The sequence below is a fragment of the Homo sapiens genome, chromosome 1 (assembly GCF_000001405.40).
Source record: "Homo sapiens chromosome 1, GRCh38.p14 Primary Assembly".
NCBI lineage: Eukaryota > Metazoa > Chordata > Mammalia > Primates > Hominidae > Homo > Homo sapiens.
The window spans coordinates 247,448,992-247,476,542 of record NC_000001.11 but is presented as its reverse complement, the minus strand read 5'-3'; the positions used below and the strand labels follow the sequence as shown (position 1 = coordinate 247,476,542).

The window sequence follows — 27,551 nt, the reverse complement described above, 5'->3', positions numbered from 1 at the left end:
CAGACCCAAAATCAGACCCGAAACCAGGCCTGGGCCTGCCTGGCCTAAACCTAGTAGTTAAAATTCCACCCCTGACCTAGCAACTGATGTTATCTATAGATCCCAGACATTGTATGGAAGGACATTGTGAAACCTCCCATTCTGTTCTGTTTCACTCTGACCACCGGTGCATGCGGCCCCTGTCACATACCCCCTGCTTGCTCAAATCAGTCACGACACTTTCATGTAAAATCTTTAGTGTTGTGAGCCCTTAAAAGGGACAGAAATTGTGCACTCAGGGAGCTCAGATTTTAAGACAGTAGTTTACTGATGCTCCCAGCTGAATAAAGCCCTTCCTTCTACCACTCGGTGTCTGAGAGGTTTTGTCTGCAGCTCGTCCCGCTACATCACTGTGTTGCCCAGGCTGGTCTTGAACTTTTGGGCTCAAGTGATCCTCCCTCCTCAGCCTTCCAAAGTGCTAGGATTATAGGTGTGAGCCACTGTGCCCCATGTATGTTGAGCACTTTTTCATATGCTGAATGGTCACATGTATGTCTTCTTTTGAAAAGTGTCTGTTCATGTCTTTTGCCCACTTTTTAATGGGGTTGTTCTTTGTTTTTTGGGTTTGTTTGTTTTTTTTTGCTTGTAACTTTGTTTAAGGTCCTTATGGATTCTTCATATTAGACCTTTTGTCATATACATAGTTTGCAAATATTTTCTCACATTCTGTAGGCTGTCTGTTTACTCTGTTTATAGAGTCTTTTGCTATACAGAAGCTCTTACATTTAATTAGATCTCATTTGTCAATTTTGCTCTTATTGCAAAAAGAGCAATAATTGTTTGGTGTCTTTTGGCATCTTTGTCATGAAATTTTTGCCAGGGTTTATGTCCAGAATGGTATTTTCTGGGTTATCTTCCAGGGATTTTATAGTTTTAGGTTTTACATTTAAATCTTTAATCCATCTTGAGTTCATTTTTGTATATGGTGTAAGGAAGGGGTCCAGTTTCAATCTTCTGCATATGGCTAGCCAGTTATCCCAGCACCATTTATTGAATAGGGAATCGTTTCCCCATTGCTTGTTTTTGTCAGCATTGTCAAAGATCAGATGGTTGTAGGTTTGCAATGTTATTTCTGGGCTCTCTATTTTGTTCCTTTGGTTTCTTGTATCTGTTTTTGAACCAGTACCATGCTGTTTTGATGATTGTAGCCTTACAATATAGTTGTGATGCCTATGGCTTTGTTCTTTTTGTTTAGGATTACCTTTGCTATTCAAGCTCTTTTTTGATTTCATATGAATTTTAAAATAGTTTCTTCTAATTCAGTGAAGAATGTCATTGGTGGCTTGATAAGATTAGCATTAAATCTATAACTTACTTTGGACAGTGTGGTCATTTTAGCAGTTTTAATTCTTCCTACCAATGAGCATGGAATGTTGTTCCATTTGTTTATGTCTTCTCTGATTTCTTTGAGAGGTGTTTTGTAATTCTCATTGTAGAGCTCTTTCACTTCTTTGGTTAACTATATTCCTAGATATTTTATTCTTTTTAGGTTATTGCTTCACATGTAATTAACTATAAAATTTTGAACAAAAATTCCCCTGGGATGGATATCATTCTGTCCCTCTGCACATTCTTTAATAGGAAGCCTATGAAAACATGATGTGGCCAAAGACTCTATTTTAATCCTGTTGTACAACAATTTTATTGTTTCAGGGTCTTGCCTTCAGCTCACTCAGGTATATTCCCTAAGACAAAGATTATTTTAAAGACAATAAATTAGAAGGAGCAGAAATCCCTCTAGAATGCTCCTTTTCACCTACTAAGCCCCTGAACTATTATCTACATGTAGTAACTCAGGTCTCAGAGGAGTCAAAAGAATAAACCTCCGGAGGTCCCCTCTAATGTCAGCAAGTTTTTTCTCTCTTCGCTGAATTTGGGTTAGTCCTGCCCATCTGGCCATTAAATTCCAGACCCCCTGAAGAGAATCGGCATCTCCTGACCTAGGTCTGAACATTCCTACTGCTGGCTCCTCACCTCTCTTCCTTCTTCAACCTCAAGGTAAAATGACTGGAAGGGCCACTTAGGTTTAGGTTGGGTTTGAGCACAGGAATTAACAATCATTTCTGTTCTACTGAATTCCCAGAATGATGAAGGAGATTCTCTCACTTACCCAAAGAGCATGGACTACTCTAGGTAATGGGAGGTAAAAACATGGGACCCCAAATAAAAGCATTAAGGAGACAGTCCTCTCAGACCCAATTATGACCCCCTTTCCAGAATCACCACAGTAGTTTTCAGGTCCAGGAACAGATTAGGACTGAGTGTATACATTTTTTAAAAGTCAGTGGCTGGCCGGGCACGGTGGCTCATGCCTGTAATCCCAGCACTTTGGGAAGCAGAGGCAGGCGGATTAGGAGGTCAGGAGATCGAGACCATCTTGGCTGACACGGTGAAACCCTGTCTCTACTAAAAATACAAAAAATTAGCCAGGCATGGTGGCGGGCACCTGTAGTCCCAGCTACTCCGGAGGCTGAGGCAGGAGAATGGCATGAACCTGGGAGGTGGAGCTGGCAGCGAGCCGAGATCGCGCCACTGCACTCCAGCGTGGGTGACAGTGCGACACTCCGTCTCAAAAAAAAAAAAAAAACTCAGTGGCATAGGAAAAGCCAACAGCCAAAGAGACAAAGAATGATAATTATCCAAGCCCATATTGAGCCTCTAATAGGCATCAAGCATTGTACCAGGTATTATATTTAAAAATCAAGACAATAGAATAAAAAATTTCTGCCATCCTGTATCTTACACAGTAGTAAAGACAAATGGCTAAAGAAAAAGTCAAATTTGAACCAAGTCTAGAGTGTTGAGTAGAATTGGGGGAAAAAAATGCAAATAAGTTTGTATGGCAGGTGAAATAATGTATTTGCAAATGAATTGAGGCAGCAATGACTGTAAGTGAGCCGTAAAAAGGTGACAAGAGCAGGCCAGCATGAGCATTTATTTGGGACAATAGTTGACAATAGAATTACAGAAGCACATATTTTGATCAGTAACCCCGGAATCAATCTATTTACTTATGCATTTAGTAAATACCTTCTACAGACCAAAACTAGGTCCTGAGGAGGCAAGGAGAATTTAAACATAGAACAAATGAGTAAAATGTTCCCATGGCAGAAAACAGGGCCAGCAGGGGACTGTAATGACACAAGAAAACAAAGCAGAATTCGGAAACAAAGACAGGGACATCACAGAAGATTTCATAGAAGGAAATGAGACTGATCCAAGTATTAAAGGATAAGTAGGACTCTAGCCAGTTAATGCGAGAGAAAGACAGAGAAACGAGCATGTACCAAGAAACCAGCCTTGAATATGTGCTTCTCCCCACCCCCTCTTTTTTTGGTCATTCTTTCATTTTTTTAAATTTATTATTACTATTAGTTTGGTTTAAGAAATCATAATTATATACATTTATGAGGTACAATTATGTGATGTTTTGATACATTTATACAATGTGGCATGATTAAGTCAGGCTAATAAGATATCCATCACCTCACCTACCTATCATTTCTATGGTGAGACATTTGAAATGTACCCTCAGTCATTTTGAAATACATAGTACACTATTATTTACTATAGTCATTCTGCTGTGCAATAGATCTCAAAGCCTCTTCCTCCTCTCTATCTGAAACTAGCATGTGCTTTTTAAACGTTGGAACAAGTGGTGAAGAGAATGAGGTTGGTGAGGAGGAGGCATGGGGTGACATAGAGGACAAGTCAGAGATGGCTCCAGGTATCACATGCTGCTCTTTGGAGGGTCCGTATGGGCTTTAAAATAATTGAATGATAAAATGAGGATTGCAATTTCTGAAGATTATTCAAGCAGGTAAGCATGAAGAATGGATTAGATTAGGTGTCTGTCGAAACAAGATATCTCAAAGATATGTAAGAATTCTAACATTATGGCAACAAGGGGATGGCAAAAGGTGTCCATTTAACTCGCTCTTGAATTTCATGAAGTAGTCTTCTTTTTGCGCTATTCCCAAAAGTTGGTGGCCCAGCCAAAAGCAAATTACTTTCAATGGTGTTGCACAGAGAAAATCCTAATAAATCCTTCAAAGAGAGTGTTCTATAACAAGTCTCCAGACTCCCCTCCCAAACACTCCAGTGTGTCAATTTAAAATCCAATTTGAAAAGGTTATCTCCCCTGAATCTAAAATAAAAGTTGAAAAATAAAAAGAAAGGAACAAATAAGTTACATAAGCAAACAAAAAACAAGCAAACGACAACAACAAAAAAAGAGGTGGTTTAACAGTATAGAATGCATAGCTTTACTAGATTTTTATATGAATGGTATTTTTACTATTGAAAACAGTTCATTAGGTTTTCTCATAATTTCTCTATTGCTTTATTTATTTAAAATGTGTAATCAAAGAAAACTTTTCATAGAACCTTCTAAACTGAATGCAGAAAAAGAGAGAGAGAGAGAGATTGTCAGAATTTTATTGCACATGCAATTTCCCAACCAGCTTTCCCCTATCCTGTAATGGAGCAATTGAATTTTAAAGCAGCATCCTATTTAAGTTTTATCTTTTTTACTCAGAATCAGCTTCTTGATTGTTGGGGTGATGTGCATGAGCGGTCCCTGCCAGCTTTGCATCATCATAGATTTGCATCTCTTTTATGAGGCAGTGGAGTGAAAGGGCCTAGCCTCTGGCCTGAGTGTCATCTCCAGCTATGTCATGGTGGAGCTCTGCCCTGCCTTCCGGCCTGAGTGTCGTCTCCAGCTGCATCATGGTGGAGCTGTGCCCTGGCTTCTGGCCCGAGTGTCGTCTCCAGCTGTGTCATGGTGGAGCTCTGTCCTGACTTCTGGCCTGTGTGTCGTCTCCAGCTGTGTCATGGTGGAGCTCTGTCCTGGCTTCTGGCCCGAGTGTCGTCTCCAGCTGTGTCACGGTGGAGCTCCGCCCTGGCTTCTGGCCTGAGTGTTGTCTCCAGCTGTGTCATGGTGGAGCTCTGTCCTGGCTTCTGGCCTGAGTGTCCTCTCCAGCTGTGTCACAGTGGAGCTTTGTCCTGACTTCTGGCCTGAGTGTCGTCTCCAGCTGCGTCATGGTGGAGCTCTGTACTGGCTTCTGGCCCGAGTGTTGTCTCCAGCTGTGTCATGGTGGAGCTCTGTCCTGACTTCTGGCCTGAGTGTCGTCTCCAGCTGCGTCATGGTGGAGCTCTGTACTGGCTTCTGGCCCGAGTGTCGTCTCCAGCTGTGTCATGGTGGAGCTCTGTCCTGACTTCTGGCCTGAGTGTCGTCTCCAGCTGTGTCATGGTGGAGCTCCGTCCTGGCTTCTGGCCCGAGTGTCGTCTCCAGCTGTGTCACGGTGGAGCTCCGCCCTGGCTTCTGGCCTGAGTGTCGTCTCCAGCTGTGTCACGGTGGAGCTCTGTCCTGGCTTCTGGCCTGAGTGTCGTCTCCAGCTGTGTCACGGTGGAGCTCTGTCCTGACTTCTGGCCTGAGTGTCGTCTCCAGCTGTGTCATGGTGGAGCTCTGTCCTGGCTCCTGGCCCGAGTGTCATCTCCAGCTGTGTCATGGTGGAGCTCTGCTTTCTCTTGCAACTTTCCTAATCTCTCTGTGCTTCAGTTTCCTCTGCATCGACTGTGTATATTTCCCATTTATTTAGCACCAAGTTATAGTGCAAATAATGTATAAACTGTGATAATTCTTGCTCTAGAAGTGGGAAAATCGAGGCTCAGCTGGAAGCTAACTAAATTGCACAGGGCTCAACAACTGTTAAAATGTAGGTGGTAGTATTTGGAACACGGCAACATAATTTCTGCTCTTCCCACACTGATTCTTGCATGCTGTTATGGTTTTGCTTGTTTTTTGTTTATTATTTACAAAAAATAATCATTTTTAGAGTGAAGAAATAATCAGTTTCAGCATGCCTTCTATTCCCATATATTAAAGCATTCAATCATCTCCAAATCCTAGGAGGTGAATGTTATTTCTTGCCTTTTTGTGCAAGAAGGCTGAGGCTCAAAGTGCTGATACTTCTTGCCCTAAGTATGTAGTGTGTCTGTGACACAGATCCAGAGATATATACTCTGGATACAAATACTGTGCTCATCCCCATAAACCAGATGCCCCAACCATGTCCATGGTGCCCACAACATCCAAAGCCACATCCTGCAAATCATGCTATTTTTCATGTTTGTTTGGAGTTACCTACATTTGCTACTACCACTCACACTTTCTCAAAATGCTTATAAAATTACAAGATTATGTATTTAGTTTCTCCTCTAGGTCTCCCCAGAGTTTATCACAAACTTAGTCAATGTTTAATTCCAGGATTCTGCTTTCACGCACCACCACGCCCAGCTAGCTTTGTTTGTTTGTTTGTTTTTGTATTTTTAGTAGAGATGGGGTTTCACCATGGCCAGGCTGGTCTTGAACTCCTGACCTCTTGTGATCTGCCCGCTTCGGCCTCCCAAAGTGCTGGGATTACAAGCGTGAGCCATTGCGCCCGGCCGATACTTTCTCTGACAGGAATTTTCCATGACTATAAACATTTACAAGTTAATTGAAGATGTTGTGCTGTGATATCTATGAATCTAAAGAATTAAACACATGTTCAGTGCAAGGCGCTTCTTCCTAATTGCTTGACAATATAGTGCTGAAATGCTCTTCTAGAACTCATTTTTCTTTTTGTTTTTTGTTTTTTGTTTTTGTTTTTGTTTTTTTGAGACGGAGTCTCGCTCTGTCGCCCAGGCTGGAGTGCAGTGGTGCGATCTCGGCTCACTGCAAGCTCCGTTTCCCAGGTTCACGCCATTCTCCTGCCTCAGCCTCCCAAGTAGCTGGGACTACAGGTGCCCACCAGCACGCCTGGCTAATTTTTTTGTATTTTTTAGTAGAGACGGGTTTCACCGGGTTGGCCAGGATGGTCTCCTTCTCCTGACCTCCTGATCTGCCCACCTCGGCCTCCCAAAGTGCTGGGATTACAGGCGTGAGCCCCCACGCCCAGCCTGAACTCACTTTTCTAAATAAGATTATAGTTAGCAATTATTCTACTTCTTCCTTGTGTGTTTTTATTTCTGCATTAAAAAAAGATACTTTTTGTAGCATTTTCTAAAAACTTAACTCATAGTTTTAGTTTTTTCAGCCTTAAGAAATTATGTTTCCAAATTCATGCTATTTGTTTTCTGAAACTAGTTCATATGCTCCCCTGGGTGAGATTAAAAGTTCTTCAAAATGTGGAACAAATGAAAACATTTGCTGTGTATCCAGACTTTATGTTACATAATGATTTGTTTTTAATGAAATGAAAAGGATAGAAGAATGAATGCGGTAGAGAGAGACAACATGATGAAGGCGGTGCATTCGCCTGGTTGGGCTGCCGTAACAAATTACCACCATGGCGTAAAAAATAGAAATTTATTTTCTCACAGTTCTGGAGGCTGAAAAGTCCAGGATGAAGTTTCTGTCAGGATTTGGTTTCTGGTGAGGATTCTCTTCCTGGCTTGCAAAAGACCGCCTTATTTCTGTGTCCTCACATGGTGGGGAGGAAGAAAGAATATGAAAGATAGAGAGAGGGAGACAGAAACACAGAGCGTGTGAGCAAGTGAGAGAGAGCACTTCCTCTTCTAATAAGGCCACAGTCCTATTGAATTAGGGTGCCACCTTCATTTTCTCATTTAACATGAATTACCTACCAAAGATCCTGTCTCCAGATGCAGTCACACTGGGGGTTAGCGCTTCAGCATATGAATTTTGGGAGCCACAATTCAGTCCATAGTAGATGACAATGGAGTGTGAAGATAAAATCAACCTGCTAGTTGTGTCAGACTGACTTCTGGGTGGAAAGCCGGAGTACCATGGGGAGTACCATACAATAAGGACAATAGTAGTGCTGCTGTCAAGTAGTGACACTGAGCATTGTATAAAATGTCTGGGAACAGATGTTCTTTGTTCATGCAAGCTTTGCTTCTAAGCATGAAACTTAAAAGTTAATTCTTCAGGAAATTGTGCTAATTAAGGTCCACAATACATTTATTCTCTACAGAAGTTTAAGACGTAAGGAAATTCCCAAAGGCAAGGTTATATTTACTTAATCAGCCAGTTTTTAGATATACATATATGGGTTTAAATATATAATTACGTTACAATAATATATAAACATATATATTTAAGCATATATATGTGTGTTTATATATATTATTTAAACATAATTTAAAAGCCAAAGGGTGGTGAAATTATATGGAATAAAATTATTCTACATCTCCATTAAAATTCTATTTGGAACCATATCCACAAAGTTGAATCGTGTTTAATGGCAAATCTTGAGAAAACTGTCAACACAAAAGCCTTTGAGTAGGAAGAGGATTTGGTGAATGATTTCCTTTTGTTTAGAAAGAAAAGAGGTATATTTAGAGAATGGCTACATCAAACTATTGAATTATTCAGCTATTTATTCTAATTTCATATCTTCTAGTTATCGCCACATGAGAAATTATGAATATTTTTTGATGCAATACAGAGGATTTCATATATATTTCCTAAAACTAGACTCTGAGTGTTTGCAATGTGAAGCTGTATTTGTTAGAGCACTGAGAAAAATTGCTCATTAAAAGTTATACATTATGTTTTTCATAAACAGTTGAAAATGCTTACAACTTCATAATAGTCTCATCAATCTTGTTATAATTAATACTGCAGGTATATAAAAACTGAGTGGATTCTACATTTTTTTAATGGGGTTGGCATCCACACATAACTCTGTGACCTAACAGTATAAGGGCAAAAATGCAAATTTGTTATATCCAAATAAAACCTGTGGCTAGAAGAATGAAGAACTGGGACAAGAAATATGTAGTGGCTTTTGCTAGTTTTCACATTCTTCAAAATATTGAAGTCTCAAGCTTGTGTAGGAGTACTGAGCCTAAAACTGCAATTAAAAGATTAGTTCAAGTTGTAACTAATGACAATCACTCTGATTTTGAAATCTAGAAAGAAAATCTGCCCATCTGTCTAAGAATCTCTCTCTCTCTTACAATCAATCTTACTCATCCTATTTCAAAAAAACAAAAAAAGGCCATGAGTCTTTCTAAAAGACATTAGTGTGATAAACACCCATAAAACTGACACTTCAGTTGTTATGAGTTATTATGTGACAACTCCTCATCATGACCCATCCTGGTAAAATTTTGCAATATGAAATGAGATGAGAAGTATGAGCACACTAATAATGGAAATGTATTTGATCCGTGTGGTACTCAGCATTTTAAAACTATACCACAACAGTAACTGCCTCTCTGGCCTAGTTGGGAGATAATTTCATAACTTTGGAGGGTAGAACAAAGGTGATTTCCCCAAGCACAGTAAATGAGTCAGGGGAAACGAGCTGTCCTCACAATTAAGTGGTGGTGAGCTGAGGATGGGTGGAAAGCCAGGGTACCATGAGGAGTACCATACAATAATGACAATGGTAGTGCTGCTGTGAAGTAGTGACACAGATCATTGTTATAAAATGTCTGGCAACAGGCGTTCTTTTTTCATGCACGCTTTGCTTCTAAGCATGGAACTTAAAAGTTACTTCTTTAGGAAATCGTGCTAATTAAGGTCCACAAGACATTTATTCACCACAGAAGTTTAGGAAGTAAAGAAATTTCACAGCCGAGTGCGGTGGCTTACGCCTGTAATCCCAGCACTTTGGGAGGCCGAGACTGGCGGATCACAAGGTCAGGAGTTCGAAACCAGCCTGACCAACATGGTGAAACCCCATCTCTACTAAAAATACAAAAATTAGCCAGGCGTGGTGATGCGTGCCTGTAATCCCAGCGACTCAGGAGGCTGAGGCAGGAGAATCATTTAAACCTAGGAGGCAGAGGCTGCCGTGAGCCAAGATTGCACCACTGCAATTCCAGCCTGGGTGACAGAGCGAGACTCCATCTCAAAAAAAAAAAAGAAATTCCTTACTTCTTGAGATATTGGTAGGTCATTCAAGAGGAAATCTCCTCTAAGTGGTAGAAATTTTGAATGGAAATAAAATTATACATCTTAGATATCCCCAGCCTACAAATAAGAAATAGCACAATTTTGGAAAGAATGGGGAGGGACACAAAGAAAAACAAAAGAGAAGGAAAGGAAGGGAAGATGAAATACAGAAGAAAGAAAGAAAAGTATAAAGAGAGAAGACCATAGAGCAATGCTTCTTAGTCACCTTCAGGAAAGGTTAAAGAACACTTTTTCATTGTGAAGTGGAAGAAAAGTGATTGTGAAGCGGGAGTGGGGAAGGAGAAGTAACCCGCGAAAGTTGAAGCAAAGCATCTATAGTATCTCTCAAACGTGGTTTTTCGGTTTCCTTGTAATACTTTTCCTGCAGCATTTGGGAATTTCAGAAATTATTTTACTTTAGGATGAAAGATGACAGAGGATAGTAGCCAACTCGTTTCTGATCTTAAAACTTGGTGGGGAGCGGGGGGAATGGAAATAGGTTCTTAGTAAGCAAGTCTTGCCAGTACTGTGTGCCCTGAATATCTGACATATTCCCCAGGGCGGAATGAGGAAGAAGAGGCTGCAGAGGCAGCAACACACGGGATTTCAACAGAATCAGATAACTGGAATTGCAGAGTAACCAGAGCCCAGAGTAAAACCAGTAAACCATGAAGATATGAAATGGCAGCTCGTTTCACACTGAAATCACTGCCATGTCAAGAAAATTCACTAGGATTTCACCACTGTATAGCTTGAGGAGGAAAGAGTCCTGCCACTATAAAAGATGAGTACAGCCCGGGCTCACGCCTGTAATCCCAGCACTTTGGGAGGCCGAGGTGGGTGGATCACCTGAGGTCAGGAGTTCAAGACCAGCCTGGCCAACATGGTAAAACCCTGTCTCTACTAAAAATAGAAAAATTAGCTGGGCATGGTGGCGGGCGCCTGTAAGCCCGGCTACTCCGGAGGCTGAGGGAGGAGAATCGCCTGAATCTGGGGAGCGGAGCTTGCAGTGAGCCGAGATCGCGCCACTGCACTCCAGCCTGAGCAACAGAGGGGGACTCCGAAAAAAAAAAAAAAAAAAAAAAGATTAGTATGATCTTACCCAGCCCACGTAAAGGGATTTCCCTCCATTTCTCACAGTAATAAAGCAAGGTACGTGAAAACTACATGATATTACCCATTTCTTTGCATACTAATATATGCCATATAATATATAATGCATAAAATAATATACATTATATATAATTAATACATCATTTATGATTGATTTAATACATAATGTAGCATATAATTTATATCGCTTATTTTTAAGCTAAATACTGTAACATTTTTAAAGTTCCATTTTATTTTTAAATCAAATAACTACATATTTATGAATTACAATGCGATATTTTGATATATGTGTATACATTGTGGAATGATTCAATTAGCATATCCATCACCTCAAATATTTATTATTTCTTGAGATGAGAACATTTAAAATCCCCTCTTTTAGCTTTTTTTTTTTTGGAAATATGCAATATATTATTCTTTTTTCTCTCTCTCTTAAATAGAAATGGGAGTTGTGGGGGAGGCCTCACCATGTTGCGCAGGCCGGTATCAAACTCCTGAGCTCCAGCGATCCACCTGCCTCAGCCTCCCAAAGTGCTGGGATTACAGGTGTGAGCCACCACACCTGACCAGAAATATACAATATATTATTCTTAACTATAGACACCTTGCTGTGCAATAGCATACTTCTCAATAAACCATGGTACTGAGGATCCTGGAAGAAATCTCTTTCTCAAAAAAAAGTAAATCTCATTCTTAATTGGCAAAGAATTAATAATAAGGTCCAAACTTATATTTTAGTATGTTCACCTTTGACTAGCTTTTCAGCACAAGAAATAACTCTTTTGTGAAACAGGAAATATGTATTCACAGCTACTATTGGCCCTTGATTTGTAACATATAATTTAATTATAAAATTTACTTTTTATCTGAAAATCCACTGAATTTCTTTTTGAATAAATCACTGTGTTAAATATGCATCCCTGTGATGTCCTTCTAAAGTCTGGATGCTAATTCTAAAGTAAATACTGTAGAGAGACGAGAAATAGAGAAAAGTTAAACTTTTATGCATATAATTTACTTTTATATTATATGATATAATTTGTCATATAAAGGAGCACATATTTTATTTGCACATATGTATATAATTCTATAAGCATGGAGAACTCTATTGAAGAACACTAGTATATGTTTGTTTTCAGGGCTGAGGAAGACAGAGTGTTCCGGAGAAACAGTTCTTGAGCAAAGAGAGAGAAAGGTAAGTCTAGAAATCTGGAGAGCCCCCGATTTTGCTCAAAGGACTTTTGACACTTGGACAGCATTTTTCACTGGTTTACCACTTCTTCCATTTCTGCAAAGCCCTAGTTCATAAACACCATAAAACAAGGTATAATAGTAATAAAGCTTCAAACGACAAAGATTCTGCACAGCAAAGGATACAGTTAACAAGATGAAAAGGTAACCTATGGATTGGGAAAAAATACCTGATAAGGGGTAAACACTCAACATTTATAAAGAACTCTTACAACTCAAAACTAAGAGAATATATAACTCAATGAAAAATGGGTAAAAGGCCTGAATAGATACTTTACCAAAGAAGACATACGAATGACCAACAGGTATATGAAAAGTTGCTCAATGTCACTAGTCATCAGGGAAATGCAAATCAAAACTACAGTGAGATAATGCTTCACATCTGTTAGGATTGCTATTATCAACAAGTCAAGAGATAAGAAGTGTTGATGAGGATGTGGAAAGGGGGAGCCCTGCACACTGTGGGTGGGAATGTGGATTGGGCAGCCATTATGGACCACAGTCTGGAGAAGTTAAAAACAAAACTCCTACATGATCCAGCAATCCCTCTTGTGGGTGTATACCTAAAGAAAATGAAGTCACCACCTCATAAAGATTTCTGCTTTCCTATGTTCATTGTGGCATTATTCACAATAGCCACGGAATGAAGACAACCTAGGCATCTGTCTATGAATGAATAGACAAACTCTGAGCTGGCCAGCTAGATAGCTAGATAGATACAAGCATCTCACTGCCTTAAAAAGGAGATGCCACTCTCCACACTTCTGGCTTCATATTAACAACTGATATGCTCTCTTTCACTATGGTTTTGATAGGGACAGGAGGCAGAGAAATTCTAGGCAGAAAAGGGTGGGGTCCCTGGCAAAGCCCCACCCTCAAGCCTAGAACCATGGCCCAAAGTGAGAACATCCCCATTTTTCTGCTCAAATGTTGCCTTTTCCAAAACCCCCGTGGCTCGCCCTGCCCCCCATTCTGTACCCATAAAAACCCCAGGCTCCACTGGCAGAGGAACGGCAGAAAAGAAGAGAAGAGAAGAAGCAGCCAGATGTCAGAGAAGCAGCTTGACTTCAGAGGGATAGCTTGACAGTGGGACTTCAGAGAGGAGCCTGGCCAGGGAAAGCCAGACTCCAGGGGATGACCACTTTCCCACTCCAACCCCTTTCCAGCTCCCCTTCCCACTGAATGCCACTTTCATCAACAATAAAATCCTCTGTATTCACCACCCTCCAAAGAAAAAAAAAAAAAGAAGGAAATGCTGCCATTTATCCATAATTTGAATAGACCTGGAGGATATTATGCTAAGTGAAATAAGCCAGACACAAAACTAAATATACTGCATGATCTCACTTATATGTGGAATCTGAAAAAAAGGTCAAATATACAAATCGAGAGAATAAAACAGTGGTTGGGGTTCAGGTAATGGAGAAAGGTAGATGAAAGGATACAAAGTAGCACATACGCAGAATGAACAAGTTGGAAGATCTAATGTACAGCATAACTTAAGGACTAGAGTTAATAACAGTGTATTGTATTCAGAATTTTTGCTGAGTAGATTATAGTTGCTTTTCTCCTTTTGCCATCAGCTGGCACAGATAATATGAGGTGATGGCTATGGTCAGTATTTATCATCATCTATTAGAAATGTATTTGATGGGTGGAAAGCCAGGGTACCATGGCTTTTCAAAGCATTCTTTGCTGTCCTTTCTTTTCCTTCTTAATCTTTCTCACAGCTATACTTCATGGTTATGCAACGATTTGCTTACTGTCTCTTTTTCTACACCATTCTGGTAGCTCTGCATGGGCCCAAATACTTTCTTATAGCTTTATTTGGATATAATTTGCATATGACAAAATTTATTCATTTTAATACTCAGTTTGATGAGTTTTGCTAAGTGTAAGCAGCCATGCAACTACCATTCCAGACAATTAGTAAAACACTTCTATCACTCCAAAGTTTCCTTGAGGGCACAAATAATTCCATTTACACTACATCTCACCATTAGTCACAGCACATGGCACATCATAAGAATTTCTTGGCCGGGCACGGTGGCTCACACCTGTAATCCCAGCACTTTGGGAGGCCAAGGAGGGCGGATCATGAGGTCAGGGGTTCAGGTCCAGCCTGACCAACATGGTGAAACCCCATCTCTACTAAAAGTACAGAAATTAGCTGGGCATGGTGGCAGGCGCCTGTAATCCTAGCTACTCGGGAGGCTGAGGCAGGAGAATCGCTTGAACCTGGGAGGCGGAGGTTACAGTGAGCCAAGATCACACCACTGCACTCCAGCCTGGGAAACACAGCCAGACTCCATTTCAAAAAAAAAAAAGAATTTCTTAAATATTTGTCGATGGGTGAATGGAAGGAAAGAAAGCAAGAAGGAAAGTGTGGACTGCCACTTACTAAGTTTTGTACCAGGAATCATACCAATATATTTGCATATATTATTTCAGTTATTCTTATATCAATCCAGTGGTCAGAAATTATGATTTCTATTGTACTGGTAAGGAAACCGAGCCTCAGAAGACTTATGTAACTCATTTAAGGTCCCAAGCTTAATACGTGAGGCCTGGGATTTGAATCCAGTTCATTTGGCTGCAAACACCCATTTTTCACCACTTCCATCTATTGGACTTATGTTAAATAAATATCAGCCTAAATATATTCCTTGTGGATATCAGTGTGATTCTTTCTTTTCTTTACTCAAATCCTAACCACAGCTGAAATAACATGTAATTCTAGAAATACAGGCAATCCATATCACGCCTGCCTTCTCCACAGGGAACCCCCCCAGTTCACACCAAGCAGAGCAAGTCTTCTCTTTTCTCATTCTAGAATGCCTGGAAATATAAAACGTTTTTTGACTCCTGGCTGCCTTCATCTTCAATGTCCACTGACTGTAGCTGCATTAAGTATTTATCATCATCTATTTGATCATTAAATTTATCCATTTGTTTGTTTTTCAATTGTTAATCTGTGACATTGATGTCAACACAGACTGCTTTAGATCACATTCTTCTAGAGGTTGGAATTACTAATATCTGTGCTTTATTATATCTTATAACACAATCATATTACAAAAGAAATCTCAGAAAATCTTCCTGAAATCACTGCCAGAATTGAGTTCAGTTTCCTAAGACATAAAACCCAGATCAGTGCTGTGAATAAGATGGAAGCTTATTACTTTTATGTCAAAGAAACTGGAGGTCAACAGTTCACGGCACCTCTTTGACCATCAAATATCAAGTACCCTGGCTCCTTCTCAATGTTCTACCATTCTTTTTTTTTTTTTTTTTTTTTTTTTTTTTTTTGATGGAGTTTTGCTCTTGTTGCCCAGCTTGGAGTGCAATGGCATAATTTCGGCTCACTGCAACCTCCGCCTCCTGGGTTCAAGCGATTCTTCTGCCTCAGCCTCCCAAGTAGCTGGGGTTACAGGCATGTGCCACCATGCCTGGCTAATTGTTTGTATTTTTAGCAGACACGGGGTTTCTCCATGTTGGTCAGCCTGGTCTCAAACTCCCAAACAGGTGATCCACCTGCCTCAGCCTCCCAAACTGCCGGGATTACAGGTGTGAGCCACCATGCCTAGCCTGTTCCACCATTCTTAATATGTGACTTGCTTCTTTAAGATTGCTTTAAGATCAAATATGGCTGCTAGGGCGCTAGCCATCAAGACTACGTTCCATGCACAAAAATAGAGAATGGAGGATTGGCTAATATTTTTCCAAGCTTTCCCAGTAATTTTATCTCATTAGCTTCCCCTATCTGTTAGAAAGCCTGGAAAATATCATCACATCACAGAGTACCTTGCTGCATGGAGTAAAAGGGGGTGCCAACAATAAGAGTGGGAGAACAGATATTTGAAGAAAGATGATCAAGACGAGAATTAGCACAATTCCAGTGGGACCCTGTGTCAGTCTCAGTCGTGGGAGTTTCCAACTACAATTGCATCTGGGTTTTCTCAGCACAAAACTGTTTATTCCACCTTTCTTCCCCCAACTGCAGAGATATGGAAGCCTCTCCACTTCTGGAAATTATCCCAGCTGGATAACAAGACAGTGTCTAAGGCCGGGCACGGTGGCTCACACCTGTAATCCCAGCACTTTGGGAGGCCGAGGCAGGCGGATCACCTGAGGCCAGGAGTTCGAGACCAGCCTGGCCAACATAATGAAACCCCGTCTCTACTAAAAACACAAAAAATTAGCCAGGTGTGGTGGTGGGTGCCTGTAGTCCCATAGACTCGGGAGGCTGAGGCAGGAGAATCACTTGAACCCAGGAGGCAGAGGTTGCAGTGAGCCGAGATCGCACCACTGCACTCCAGCCTGGGAGACAAGAGTGAAACTCCGTCTCAAAAAAAAAAAAAGTGTCTAAGATGTCCCTGGTGCCTCATCTGGCTCTCCGTGGGAGAGAGTACAAGAGAGCATGCTTAGAATCAGGGACAGCTCCCACTTCTTCGCCAAAGCACAGTCGCCCCATCTTCTTCTGGGACATATTCTCTCCTCCCTCCATCCCCAGAAGGTAAAAATAGAGCCCTAACTCATGGCCATGACTCACCCTGTGTCCACTTAGACATCTAAAGCTAGAGAAAAAAGACGATCGAGTCAAAACCTAGAGAGGGAGAGTAACTGCACCAAGGTGCTGCTATTCACAGTGGTTCCCATAGCAGCATTTAATCACATGAATTGTAGCTCATGAATTAAAATTTGCGCTACAAGAATTCTATTTGGCCATAAAAAAAATGAAGTCATATCTTTGCTGCAATGTGGATGGAATTGGAGGACACTATCTTAAGCCAAACAACTGAGGAACAGAAAGTCAAATACCAGATGTTCTCAGTTACAAGTGGGAGCTAAATTATGTGTCCACAGGGATGCAGAGGATGGAGTAAGAGACCCTGGAGACTAGGGTGGGTAGGACGGTGTCAGGGGGTGAGGGAGGAGAAATTACGTGGGGTAAAATGTACGTTATTCGGGTGATAGTTACGCTAAATGCCCAGATTTCACCACTGCACAATATATCCGTGTAACAAAATTGCACCAGTAGCCCTTAAATTTATACAGATAAGAAAATAAAAGAATAAATAAAATAAAATGTGCACTACTTCTTGCGGCCTGTCTTAAGAAAGATTTTTTTTATCCCCTCCATGTGAAAAATATAATAGGGTGCTGAGACAATATATCAACAACAACAACAACAAAAAGCCCTCAACATGTATCACTCTGTGCCACTCATTGTTCTGAGTGCTTTACAAGAAACAATTCATTCCACCCTTGTAACAGACTGTGCAAAACAATACTAATGTTTCTTGTATTTTTAAGAAAACACAAGTGAGGCACAGATAGGTTAAGTAACCTGCTCAAAGACACATGGCATGAGTGACCGAGCCTGGTGTTGAAGCCAGTTCAGGTCTCATGCTTTACCTGAATCACACACTCTAGTTACTACTCCACTCTGATGTTACAGTAATCACCTCACCACGCACCAGCCCTAAAGAGTTCAACACACACACACACACACACCACACACCAGCCCTAAAGAGTTCAACACACACACACACACACCACGCACCAGCCCTAAAGAGTTCAACACACACACACATACACACACCATGCACCAGCCCTAAAGAGTTCAACACACACACACATACACACACCAGCCCTAAAGAGTTCAACACACACACACACACCACGCACCAGCCCTAAAGAGTTCAACACACACACACACACGCCACGCACCAGCCCTAAAGAGTTCAACACACACACACACCATGCACCAGCCCTAAAGAGTTCAACACACACACACACACCACGCACCAGCCTTAAAGAGTTCAACACACACACACACACCACGCACCAGCCCTAAAGAGTTCAACACACACACACACACACACACACACACACACACACACACAGAGTTCTTATTCCCCATTATTGATCCATTTTCTCTGGTCTTCTGGGATTTGCCATTAATTGCAAGAACTCCAAGCTCTCACACCACCTCAATTATCAGCTAACCCCTTAGACACTAATTAAATAAAGCATCAGGGATAATTTCACAGCCAGAGGAGAGCAAGTTTTTACTCTCACGTCTGGGGAGAATGAGCAGGGCCCTTATAGAAAACAGTGGAGAGAATGAGGTCAAGTTAAATCTGAGGGATAATTTTGAAATGAACAGAGAGCGTGACACGGGCAAGGTGTGTTGCCTGAAAGCCTTATCCTCGGAAGTAACCTCCACCATGTCAAGGTACCTATAGGCACTCTGGGGGACTAAGGTTAAGGCAGTTCCACCGACCTCACGTACTGCCAAGGGAGAGTCCGGGAAACCCTGAGTCTCCCCAGCAAGCCTGTTGCAACGGACAGCAGACTCCTTCTAGACTGAGAATAATCTCTCAGACTTGCTCAGAGGGTTGGGTTCCAGTAAATGGTAAGGTCCCAGCAGCCCATCAGAGGAAATGTGCTGTGTGTTCCTGGAATATGAAGAGCATTTCTAGTAAGTCCATCCTTAAATGTCCCTCCGCGACTAAGGCCAACACAGACTGCAATATAGCCTTCAGTCCTAAAGCAAGTCTTCTGTAGGAGCCAGGAACCCTGGAGGTGAGTGATTCATCCTCAACTCCAGTCAAACTGAAATCTGTACAGTGCAGTGGAGGTGCAGGATGGGCAGTATTAACACTGGGCTATGCTGGAGACCAAGGGCACATGAGGTGGAGGATGGATGGGTCGATGAGCAATGGCCACGTATTAAGCAGCAAGTGTAAAATTGTGTTGTGTGGTTTTATCTAGAAAAGAGAGCCGGGAGCAGAACAGGATGCTCTGCCTGGAGGTAGGCACGCTGTCTGACACTCATCTGAACAGTGGACGCTGCACACAGTGTGTGGGGACGCTGAGTCCCTTTCCTCCGCTTCCTCCTATTTTTGAGGCTGCTGAATCACAGTCACAAGGGCAGTAGTGAGCTGAGCAGGGCCATGGAAAGAGAGAAAAAGAGAATGCAGAGCTGAATCGTATCAGTCCCCGAGAAAGCAAGCTTCAGGTTGAAAAATCTGAAAAAGTCAGACCACATAAAAAGGCGATGACGTGTGGTGGTGGTAGGGGGAGGCATGTGCAGAGGGGCTGACCCTGCCTGAGCCACGCGCTGAGGGCTGTGCAGCCGTATCCTCCCTCCCATAGGCCCATCACTGCTGGGTCCCAGCTCCTTCTCCTCCTCTTCCCTTCGTCCCCAGCACTAGAAGGAATAACTGACGAGGCTGAGGACTCTACCTACCTCCAGAATAAGAAGCTATTTGAGGGATGAGGCTTTTAGATTTGCTAACAAAATCAATAATCATTTTTGTGAATTAATTGCATTCCTCATGCTGTGAATGACATAATATGTAAGACATGTTCATGTTCTCATTAGTGGGACTTGAACAATGAGAACACATGGACACAGGGAGCGGAACATCACACACCGGGGCCCATCAGGGAGTGGGGGCTAGGGGAGGGAGAGCATTATGAGAAATACCTAACGTAGATGACGGGTTGATGGATGCAGCAAACAACCATGGCACGTGTATACCTGTGTAACAAACCTCCACGTTCTGCACATGTATCCCAGAACTTAAACTATAATTAAAAAAAAAAAAGAAAAAAAAGTAATTACAATCTCCCTAAAAAGTAAAAAATTAACATATTGGAAATGATTACCAAATGATACAGCAAATTTACAATTTTTCCATTAGGCGAGGTCTTTAATATTTTTCAGGTTTACAGGGTGTTTAACGAGGTCGTGCATGTAAAAGGGAAACTGGGCTGGGTGAGGTGGCTCACGCCTGTAATCCTAGCACTTTGGGAGGCCAAGGTGGGAGGATCACTTGAGCCTAGGAGTTCGAGACTAGTCTGGGCAATAGCAAGACCCCATCTCTATTTATTTTAAGTAAATATAAAATAAAGTTTTTTAAAGGGGAACTGTTTGTTACTTTTGAGAGTGACAGATTATGACATCCAGAGGCTTATGAGGAAGTAATTTCCCCTCCATGTGAACCGGCATTGGATTTTTAAATAGCTTACCCTGTGGACTCATACCCCAGTCCCTGAACGAGGTGAACTTCTTAATCTTTCTGAACCTCTCAGTTTTCCAGAGTTATTGAAATGGGATATGGGAAGGCTCATATGCGGTGCCTAGTGCACAGAGAACTGGTGGGTGCTCATTCAGTGTGCACTTACTTCCCTTCTCCTCTCAATGCTAAGAATTTGTTTAATCTTTCAAATTAAAGTGTTATGAAAAATTAGACCTCAGATCCACTGTGGCAATAGGCATATTCATGTCCTCAAACCCCTTTGTACTGTGGGAGCTACAGAAGATGATGAATAGTGTTAAATTAGTGAGGGCAGTTAAAGGAAAGAAACCGGGCTGTCCTGAAACCAGAGGTGGGACATGAAGGGAAGGGAAGAACGTAAGATTCCCAAGACATTCCTGCTATTCCCAGCAGGAGGATGTGCACTTCCCCAGTCCTGGCACAGGATGAGAAAGGACTGTGCATGCACAGGGACACTAACTACATTGCAGAGGCTGCTGAGTGACACTGAGAATAAAGATGAAGAGGTGGAGTTGAGGCTGGGCTTGTGTGCTCTCAAGCCCCTGTGCCAGCTAACGTCTCGATTGTACTTGTTAGACTCCTAAGAAAAAGCGTGCCATTGAACCAGGACTGCAAATGCAAACAAATAAGGAGAAAGGGGCTCTTAAATAAGGAGAAAGGGGCTCTTTCTCTTTTTGTGATGAAAGAGTCCGTGTTATTATCAGTTCAGGAAAATACTGCTATCATTAAGCCTTGTCCCCAAGACTCTCTTGAGTGTAATCCCAATGATGGCCTCCGCAGCTGAACAGGGCCTGGACCAGGCTATCCCGGTTGTGGGATGGGAGGCTGCATTCTAGACTGAAGAAAGAGACCCTTTGGACTAATAAGCAATAAAATCCTATGACCATGTTTCTGTTTGCCCATCTCATAAGCTACTTTCTAGGAATTCCACACACTGCTGTAAATTTGATTTTCCATCTTGTGTGATGGAGTAGGTAACAATGTGTTCCGTCAAGCTTCAGCAGAGATTTCAGCAGCAAATGTCAGGGATAAGAGGTAGATGATATAGATATAGAGATATAAATATTAATCATAAGGATTATATATCCTACAGGGAATGATATATATCTAAGGGTGTATCACAGCCTGCGTGTTCACAGCCTAGCCTGCCAGCAGCCCCCAGAAGAAACTGCGGGAATTCAGCGTGAACATGATACAATCAGCAGGTAACTCTTGAGCGACGGGTTCTTACGTTTTTGGTAATTGAAACACCTAAAGATATCTTTGCCTTAAGGCCTGAGTCTCAGAAAGATGACTTCGTGTGAGGGTGAGTGAGGGGTTGAAACTGCCTGCAGAGAGGCAGGTAGCAAGTTCCAAGAGGGGTCCTGGTGGGCGTTTCTGCCCAGGACGGCAGTGGTGAGGATACAGACAGTGCGTGCCTGCAACGATGCAACATTGTGGTGGGATCACAGCATTGTGTGGGTGTTGAATTCTTTAACTTCGGTGCTGAACTAGAGTGAATGAGGAGTAGAACATGAATAGAAAGAACCTCAGTACTTGGCATCACGGTGACTGAAGGGAACTCAGCCAGAATTAAGATGAAGGAGATGGTTTGAGTCTGGGGGGATGGCTGCCAGGTGAAATTTGGGATGCCTCAGTTCACAATGTCAAAAAGGGGGTTAGAGGTCAGTGAGGAACTGACAACTGTAGATACAGCCTGAGGGATTCCGTCTGAATGCGATGGCGATGTTTGTGGGAACTACTGTGTCCATCCAGGGAAGCAAGGCTGTGCCTTGAGGGGGCACCTGTACTTGGGTAGTGGGAAGATGAAAGAAGGTCAAGGAGTGCAGAGGCTAGACACCTACGAAAGCTCCGTGTGGAAACACCTGAACAGAAGGGCATCAGATCCAGGGCATGAGGGGCAGGGCTGGGCAGTGTCCAGCTTTGCCATTGAGAAACCGTGTGTGTGTGCGTGTGTGTGTGTGTGTGTGTGTGTGCGTGTGCACGTGCATGCATGTGTGTGCACGTGTGTACGTAAGTGTGCACATGTACAGTGGACTATAATTACAAGAAAACCACTCCTCTCTAATCCCTGCCCCTTTCTATCCTGTGACCTTCCTCTCCCTCATCTCCCCTTCCCAGGAACTTCTTTTGTCTCAGTCGTTTACGCGACTGCCCTTGCTGCTCCCCATGTCACCAGCTGCTCTTTTTTTAAAGCAAAGTTCTGGAGAGAATAGTAGTGAAGAGCAGGAGTTTGGCTTTCAGTCCTGGCTTTACCATTTGCTGCCGTGTAACTAAGGTAGACCAGCTGTCCTCCCGAGTCGCTCAGTCAATTAGGGGTGAAAACATGGACCTTGCTGAGATATTAAGGCAACATCAAGTTATTATTACAGTACCTGGCTCACAGTGAGTGGTAAATAACTTGTCTTTATTATAAATTGCCGCATACATTTACCCCTCTATCTTTCTTGCTTCCTTCATTCTCTCATTTCTTTCTTCACTATCCCTACAACTTCTCCCTTTTCTCCCAGTTTAGGCTCTGAAAAGAAACTCTGGAATCAGAAATCTCAGAAAGAGAAATGTCATAATTCCTTTACTTCTTAATAATTAGACTTAAAAATGTGCTAGCTTGACTTTGCTCGGCCACAGCTCACTGTTTTGACAGGCATCTTGAGCTCGTTAGAGATAAGATCACATTCTGTGAAGTTTATTTCATAAGTATTGTTGATAGAATCTGGGAGGAGATACGATAATTGAATGTTTCACAAGAATATTGGCAACTTTCTGACAAAACGTGTGTGGTTTTGAAACTAGAGAAGCAGGAGGGAAAAACTGAACTTATTCCTCCATTGAAACCCTGGAGTTTGAGTTGTTTTCCAGTAACAGTAGAGTTCTTCAGAACATCAACTGGGGCAGCAGGGAACACCTGTTGCAACATGTAAGCTGAGCAGATCTCCGTTAGTTTTACAGTCTATGCATAAGGTACCAAATCAAGAATAAAAATCCTTCATAAATTATCTGCTTACAGGATTTATTATGAATAATGATTAATTAATTATTGTTTATTAATAATATTTTTCAATCCTATCATGGAGCATAACATCCCCATCAGGAACTGGAAGGTGTGCAATGCTTGAGCGATTGTAGGAGGTGAGAAGCCAATGGTGCAGTCGAAAGGACCCACGAATCAGCAGGTGGCAACCCAGTTGCTTCCTAACAGCAATGGTTTCAGAAATCAAATTGGCTGTTTTCTATCACTGAGAGGTGACAGCTGCTCGGCAAAGAAATTGTGCAGGAAATTGGAATGTCACTCAAGCCATCAGATAAAACCTAGCCCTAGAGGGCAGTCTGATCTTTCCGTAGACAATTCCAGGGGCTACCTTTCTCACGCCAATCAAGAGCTTTCTCCCTGTGCTCAAAATTCCATGGTCTGGGGTCTCATTAACTACCATGACCTATTCAGGGGCTGAAGTAACGTATACCTTGGCTCTTCCACTCCAGAGACTCACAGGACCTAGAATTGTGCTGCTTTTACTGCCAGTGTGAGTGACAGGGCTGCCTGTGCGTGTGTGGTCATGACAGCGGAGATCAGCATGAATCCGGGAGCTGGATGCAAGCGTGAGCCAGTGACGGGGGGTGGTCCTATCAATACAGCCCCCAGCTGCTCACAAAGCCCTTCTGCTTGCTTTATGTCACCGCCTGCCTCCCTCCTACCACTACCTCCCAAAATGGGAAAGCCTAAGAAGGTGGACAATTCCTTGTCGATGTGGATGTAGAGAGAAATCAAACACTCTGACGGTGATGGGAGCTGCAGCACGCTTCGCTCTACCTGGAACATAATTGTCATTCGTGAGGTATTCTTCTCACATACTTAATGTCTCTATCGTCCCCAAGTCTTGGCAATTGAAGGAGGTATTTCTCCCCATTTTACAGATGCAGAAGTTCAGGAATATTAAATGGTTTAGTTGCGGCCACTGAGTAGGAAGGAGAGCAAAGACACAGAGGCTGCTACTGGGGCTCCTGGTTCTGACCCTTCCGCATCCCAGCGTCTCCACAGAGGTAAGGAGAATCAAACAGGCTATCACCTGGGAAAGGAAGAGTGGATGCAAGAGGGAGGAAAGTGATCAATTCCTCTTCTCAGGTATTATTCATTCCAATTTTCTCAATTTGCCACAAGTGCCAGAAAATGCCGCAACATGAAAAGTGACAACCATAGCTTCTTAGGGGACTCCCCTAAAGCCTTCATCCTTCTGGGTGTGTCTGACAGGCCGTGGCTGGAACTCCCTCTCTTTGTGGTCCTCCTGCTGTCCTATGTGCTGGCCATGTTGGGGAACGTCGCCATCATCCTGGCATCCCGGGTGGATCCTCAACTCCACAGCCCCATGTACATCTTCCTCAGTCACCTGTCCTTCCTGGACCTCTGCTACACCACCACGACAGTCCCTCAGATGCTGGTCAACATGGGCAGTTCCCAGAAGACCATCAGCTATGGAGGCTGCACTGTGCAATATGCAGTCTTCCACTGGCTGGGATGCACGGAGTGCATCGTCCTGGCCGCCATGGCCCTGGACCGCTACGTGGCCATCTGCAAGCCCCTGCACTATGCCGTTCTCATGCACCGTGCTCTCTGTCAGCAGCTCGTGGCTCTGGCCTGGCTCAGTGGCTTCGGCAACTCCTTCGTGCAGGTGGTCCTGACGGTGCAATTGCCATTCTGCGGGCGGCAGGTGCTGAACAACTTTTTCTGTGAGGTGCCGGCCGTGATCAAGCTGTCGTGTGCTGACACCGCTGTGAATGACACCATACTGGCTGTGCTGGTGGCCTTCTTCGTGTTGGTGCCCCTGGCTCTCATCCTTCTCTCCTATGGCTTTATTGCCCGGGCAGTGCTCAGGATCCAGTCCTCCAAGGGACGACACAAGGCCTTTGGGACGTGTTCCTCCCACCTGATGATCGTCTCCCTCTTCTACCTACCTGCGATTTACATGTATCTGCAGCCCCCTTCCAGCTACTCCCAAGAGCAGGGCAAATTTATTTCTCTCTTCTATTCCATAATCACCCCCACTCTCAATCCCTTCACCTACACCCTGAGAAATAAAGATATGAAGGGGGCTCTGAGGAGACTTCTGGCCAGGATCTGGAGGCTCTGTGGATGATGAGGACATGAGATGTAGCATCTCCATCAATTAAAGAACACAGCACAAGTCTATTGTGCACTCAGAGCATCTTTCACTTAAGGAGTTAATACCCAGAGAGCTCAAAAACCCTGTCTTCAAACATCTCACTTCCTGTTATAATGCCCCAAATCCCATAGCGACAAAGTTCATTTTAAACGTATAATTCTAAGAGGCCATATATTTTTAAGCATTGTTTAAATAGACTTCAATAAGTATGTGTGGAATTATTTCACTTCCAATTTCCTGATTCTTTTCTCTTTTCCTCTTCCTATATTTCTTTTATTCTCTCCCCATTTGTCTCTTTTCTATTACTCCTAAGTATACACAAGATGAAGCTGAAATACAATCTTATTTTACTTACAATGAATAAGTGTTTTTCTCCATATACTTAAATCTCCACAAATTTTACACGACTTTTTCAGACAATTCCAGGAATGAAGTAGATTGCTATCTTCTTCCTGTGATTTTGATTTTTTTTTCTCTGTAGTTCACATTTTCTTCTATAGAAAGTTTTTCCATGAAATGTAAACTAGTACAAACACTAGTACAACCACGATGGAAAACATTGTGGATCCTTAAAGAACAAAAAGTAGATCTACCATTTGATCCAGCAATCCCACTACGGGGCATCTACCCAGAGGAAAATAAGTCATTATACGAAAAAGATACTTGCTCATGCGTGTTTATAGCAGCACAATTTGCAATTGGAAAAATATGGAACCATCTGGGCGCAGTGGCTCATGCCTGTAATCCCAGCACTTTGGGAGGCCGAGGCGGGTGAATCACAAGGTCAGGAGTTCAAGACCAGCCTGGCCAAGATGGTGAAACCCCATCTCTACTAAAAATACAAAAATTAGCTGGGCATGGTGGCACACGCCTGTAATCCCAGCTACTCAGGAGGCTGAGGCAGAGAATTGCTTGAACCCGGGAGGCGGAGGTTGCAGTGAGCCGAGATCGCGCCTCTGCACTCCAGACTGGGCGACAGAGCAAGACTCCATCTCAAAAAAAAAAGAAAAAGAAAATGTGAGATATATACCATGGAAAAATACTATTCAGCCATAAAAAGGAATGAAATAATGGCATTCTCAGCAACCTGGCCAGTTTTAATGTCCTAATGCCCAAAGGTTCTCTTTCTCTCTTTCAAGCTCAGCTATGTGTTTCTGATTACATTATTTATATAGGTTATCAAAGTGTTTGTAGCAGGAAGGCAGTCGGTAATAGTTCACCAAGATGCAGAAACCCAGTCTCCAGTTGGTGCTGCTCAGAAGTGCTAACAAGACAGAGTTTGCAACAGAATGTAAATCTCATACTGTTTCCCTTATAAAAATAGTCTTCAGGGTTTTTTTTAAATGTCAGCTCATCTAAAAGGTATGTTTAATAATGTGATTGTTTTACATTCTTATACAAGCTCCTTATATCGACAGTTCATAGACTACACTTTGAGTAGCAAAGTGTGGCTACTTTGATGGCTAATTGTACAGAGGAAATAGTATTTCCATCCTGAGCAATTCCATGCGGTTTAAGAGTTGTCCATGTGTAGAGAAGCAATTAGTAAATATTTCCTTATAACTTAATGCTCTGTGAAGTATAATAGATGAACTGTTCCTCGGATGGGATAAATCCAAAATAAGCTGTTATCAACTGAAAGCAAGATGCATCTTCTACATAATACTTCTAGTTAGGAGCGCAGGCTCTGATACTCTCAAACCTTTCCCTCCACGATTTTCAATCTCCTATCCTATCAAAGATGAAATTCCACTCATTACAGTTAGAGTGAGGTAACGTTTTAAAAATTATCTACAATGGAATCATTTGCCAAAGTGACTTTTAAAATGCACCAAACAATTTAATTTATCTTTAGTGGTTTAGAGAAATAATTTGAAAAATTTCTAGGTACTCTTTTTTAAAATTAAGAAAAGGAATCAATTTAATTAAATACCAAAAAGTTTTACATATTCCTGAATTTTCAACCAGCTACAAAAAGCATGGATTTTTCTTATTAGAAAACAAAACTGT

At 42.3% G+C, this 27,551-nt stretch overlaps 1 protein-coding gene across 2 annotated transcripts, besides 2 other annotated features; it reads left to right on the top strand.

Moving 5' to 3' along the window:
- Positions 4,361-4,993: an enhancer, noted in NCBI's record as "H3K27ac-H3K4me1 hESC enhancer chr1:247634852-247635484 (GRCh37/hg19 assembly coordinates)". NCBI's record gives its function as "activates a minimal SCP1, AML or CMV promoter by ChIP-STARR-seq in primed H9 embryonic stem cells {active_cell/tissue: H9 hESC(primed)}" and the evidence as "EXISTENCE:reporter gene assay evidence [ECO:0000049][PMID:30033119]".
- Positions 5,180-5,373: a silencer, noted in NCBI's record as "fragment chr1:247634472-247634665 (GRCh37/hg19 assembly coordinates)". NCBI's record gives its function as "represses an EF-1alpha promoter that drives an FKBP-Casp9 reporter gene in an ReSE screen in K562 erythroleukemia cells {active_cell/tissue: K562}" and the evidence as "EXISTENCE:reporter gene assay evidence [ECO:0000049][PMID:32094911]".
- Positions 18,439-27,425, top strand: OR2B11 (olfactory receptor family 2 subfamily B member 11). Of its 2 annotated transcripts, NR_169840.1 has the most exons (5): positions 18,535-18,904; positions 21,479-21,590; positions 24,102-24,218; positions 24,298-24,423; positions 24,632-27,425. NR_169840.1 is itself a non-coding variant. In NM_001004492.2 (2 exons), exon 2 carries the CDS (start codon positions 24,561-24,563, stop codon positions 25,512-25,514), a length of 954 nt encoding a protein of 317 aa, NP_001004492.1. In that variant the 5' UTR covers positions 18,439-18,904; positions 21,479-24,560; the 3' UTR covers positions 25,515-27,361. The 2 variants fall into 2 exon arrangements, 1 of the variants encoding a protein (NP_001004492.1); NM_001004492.2 differs by having other exon boundaries at positions 18,439-18,904; positions 21,479-27,361.

Coding starts and splice junctions, on each gene's coding strand:
- OR2B11 (NM_001004492.2), top strand. CDS start 24,561: ATGAAAAGTGACAACCATAGCTTCTTAGGGGACTCCCCTAAAGCCTTC.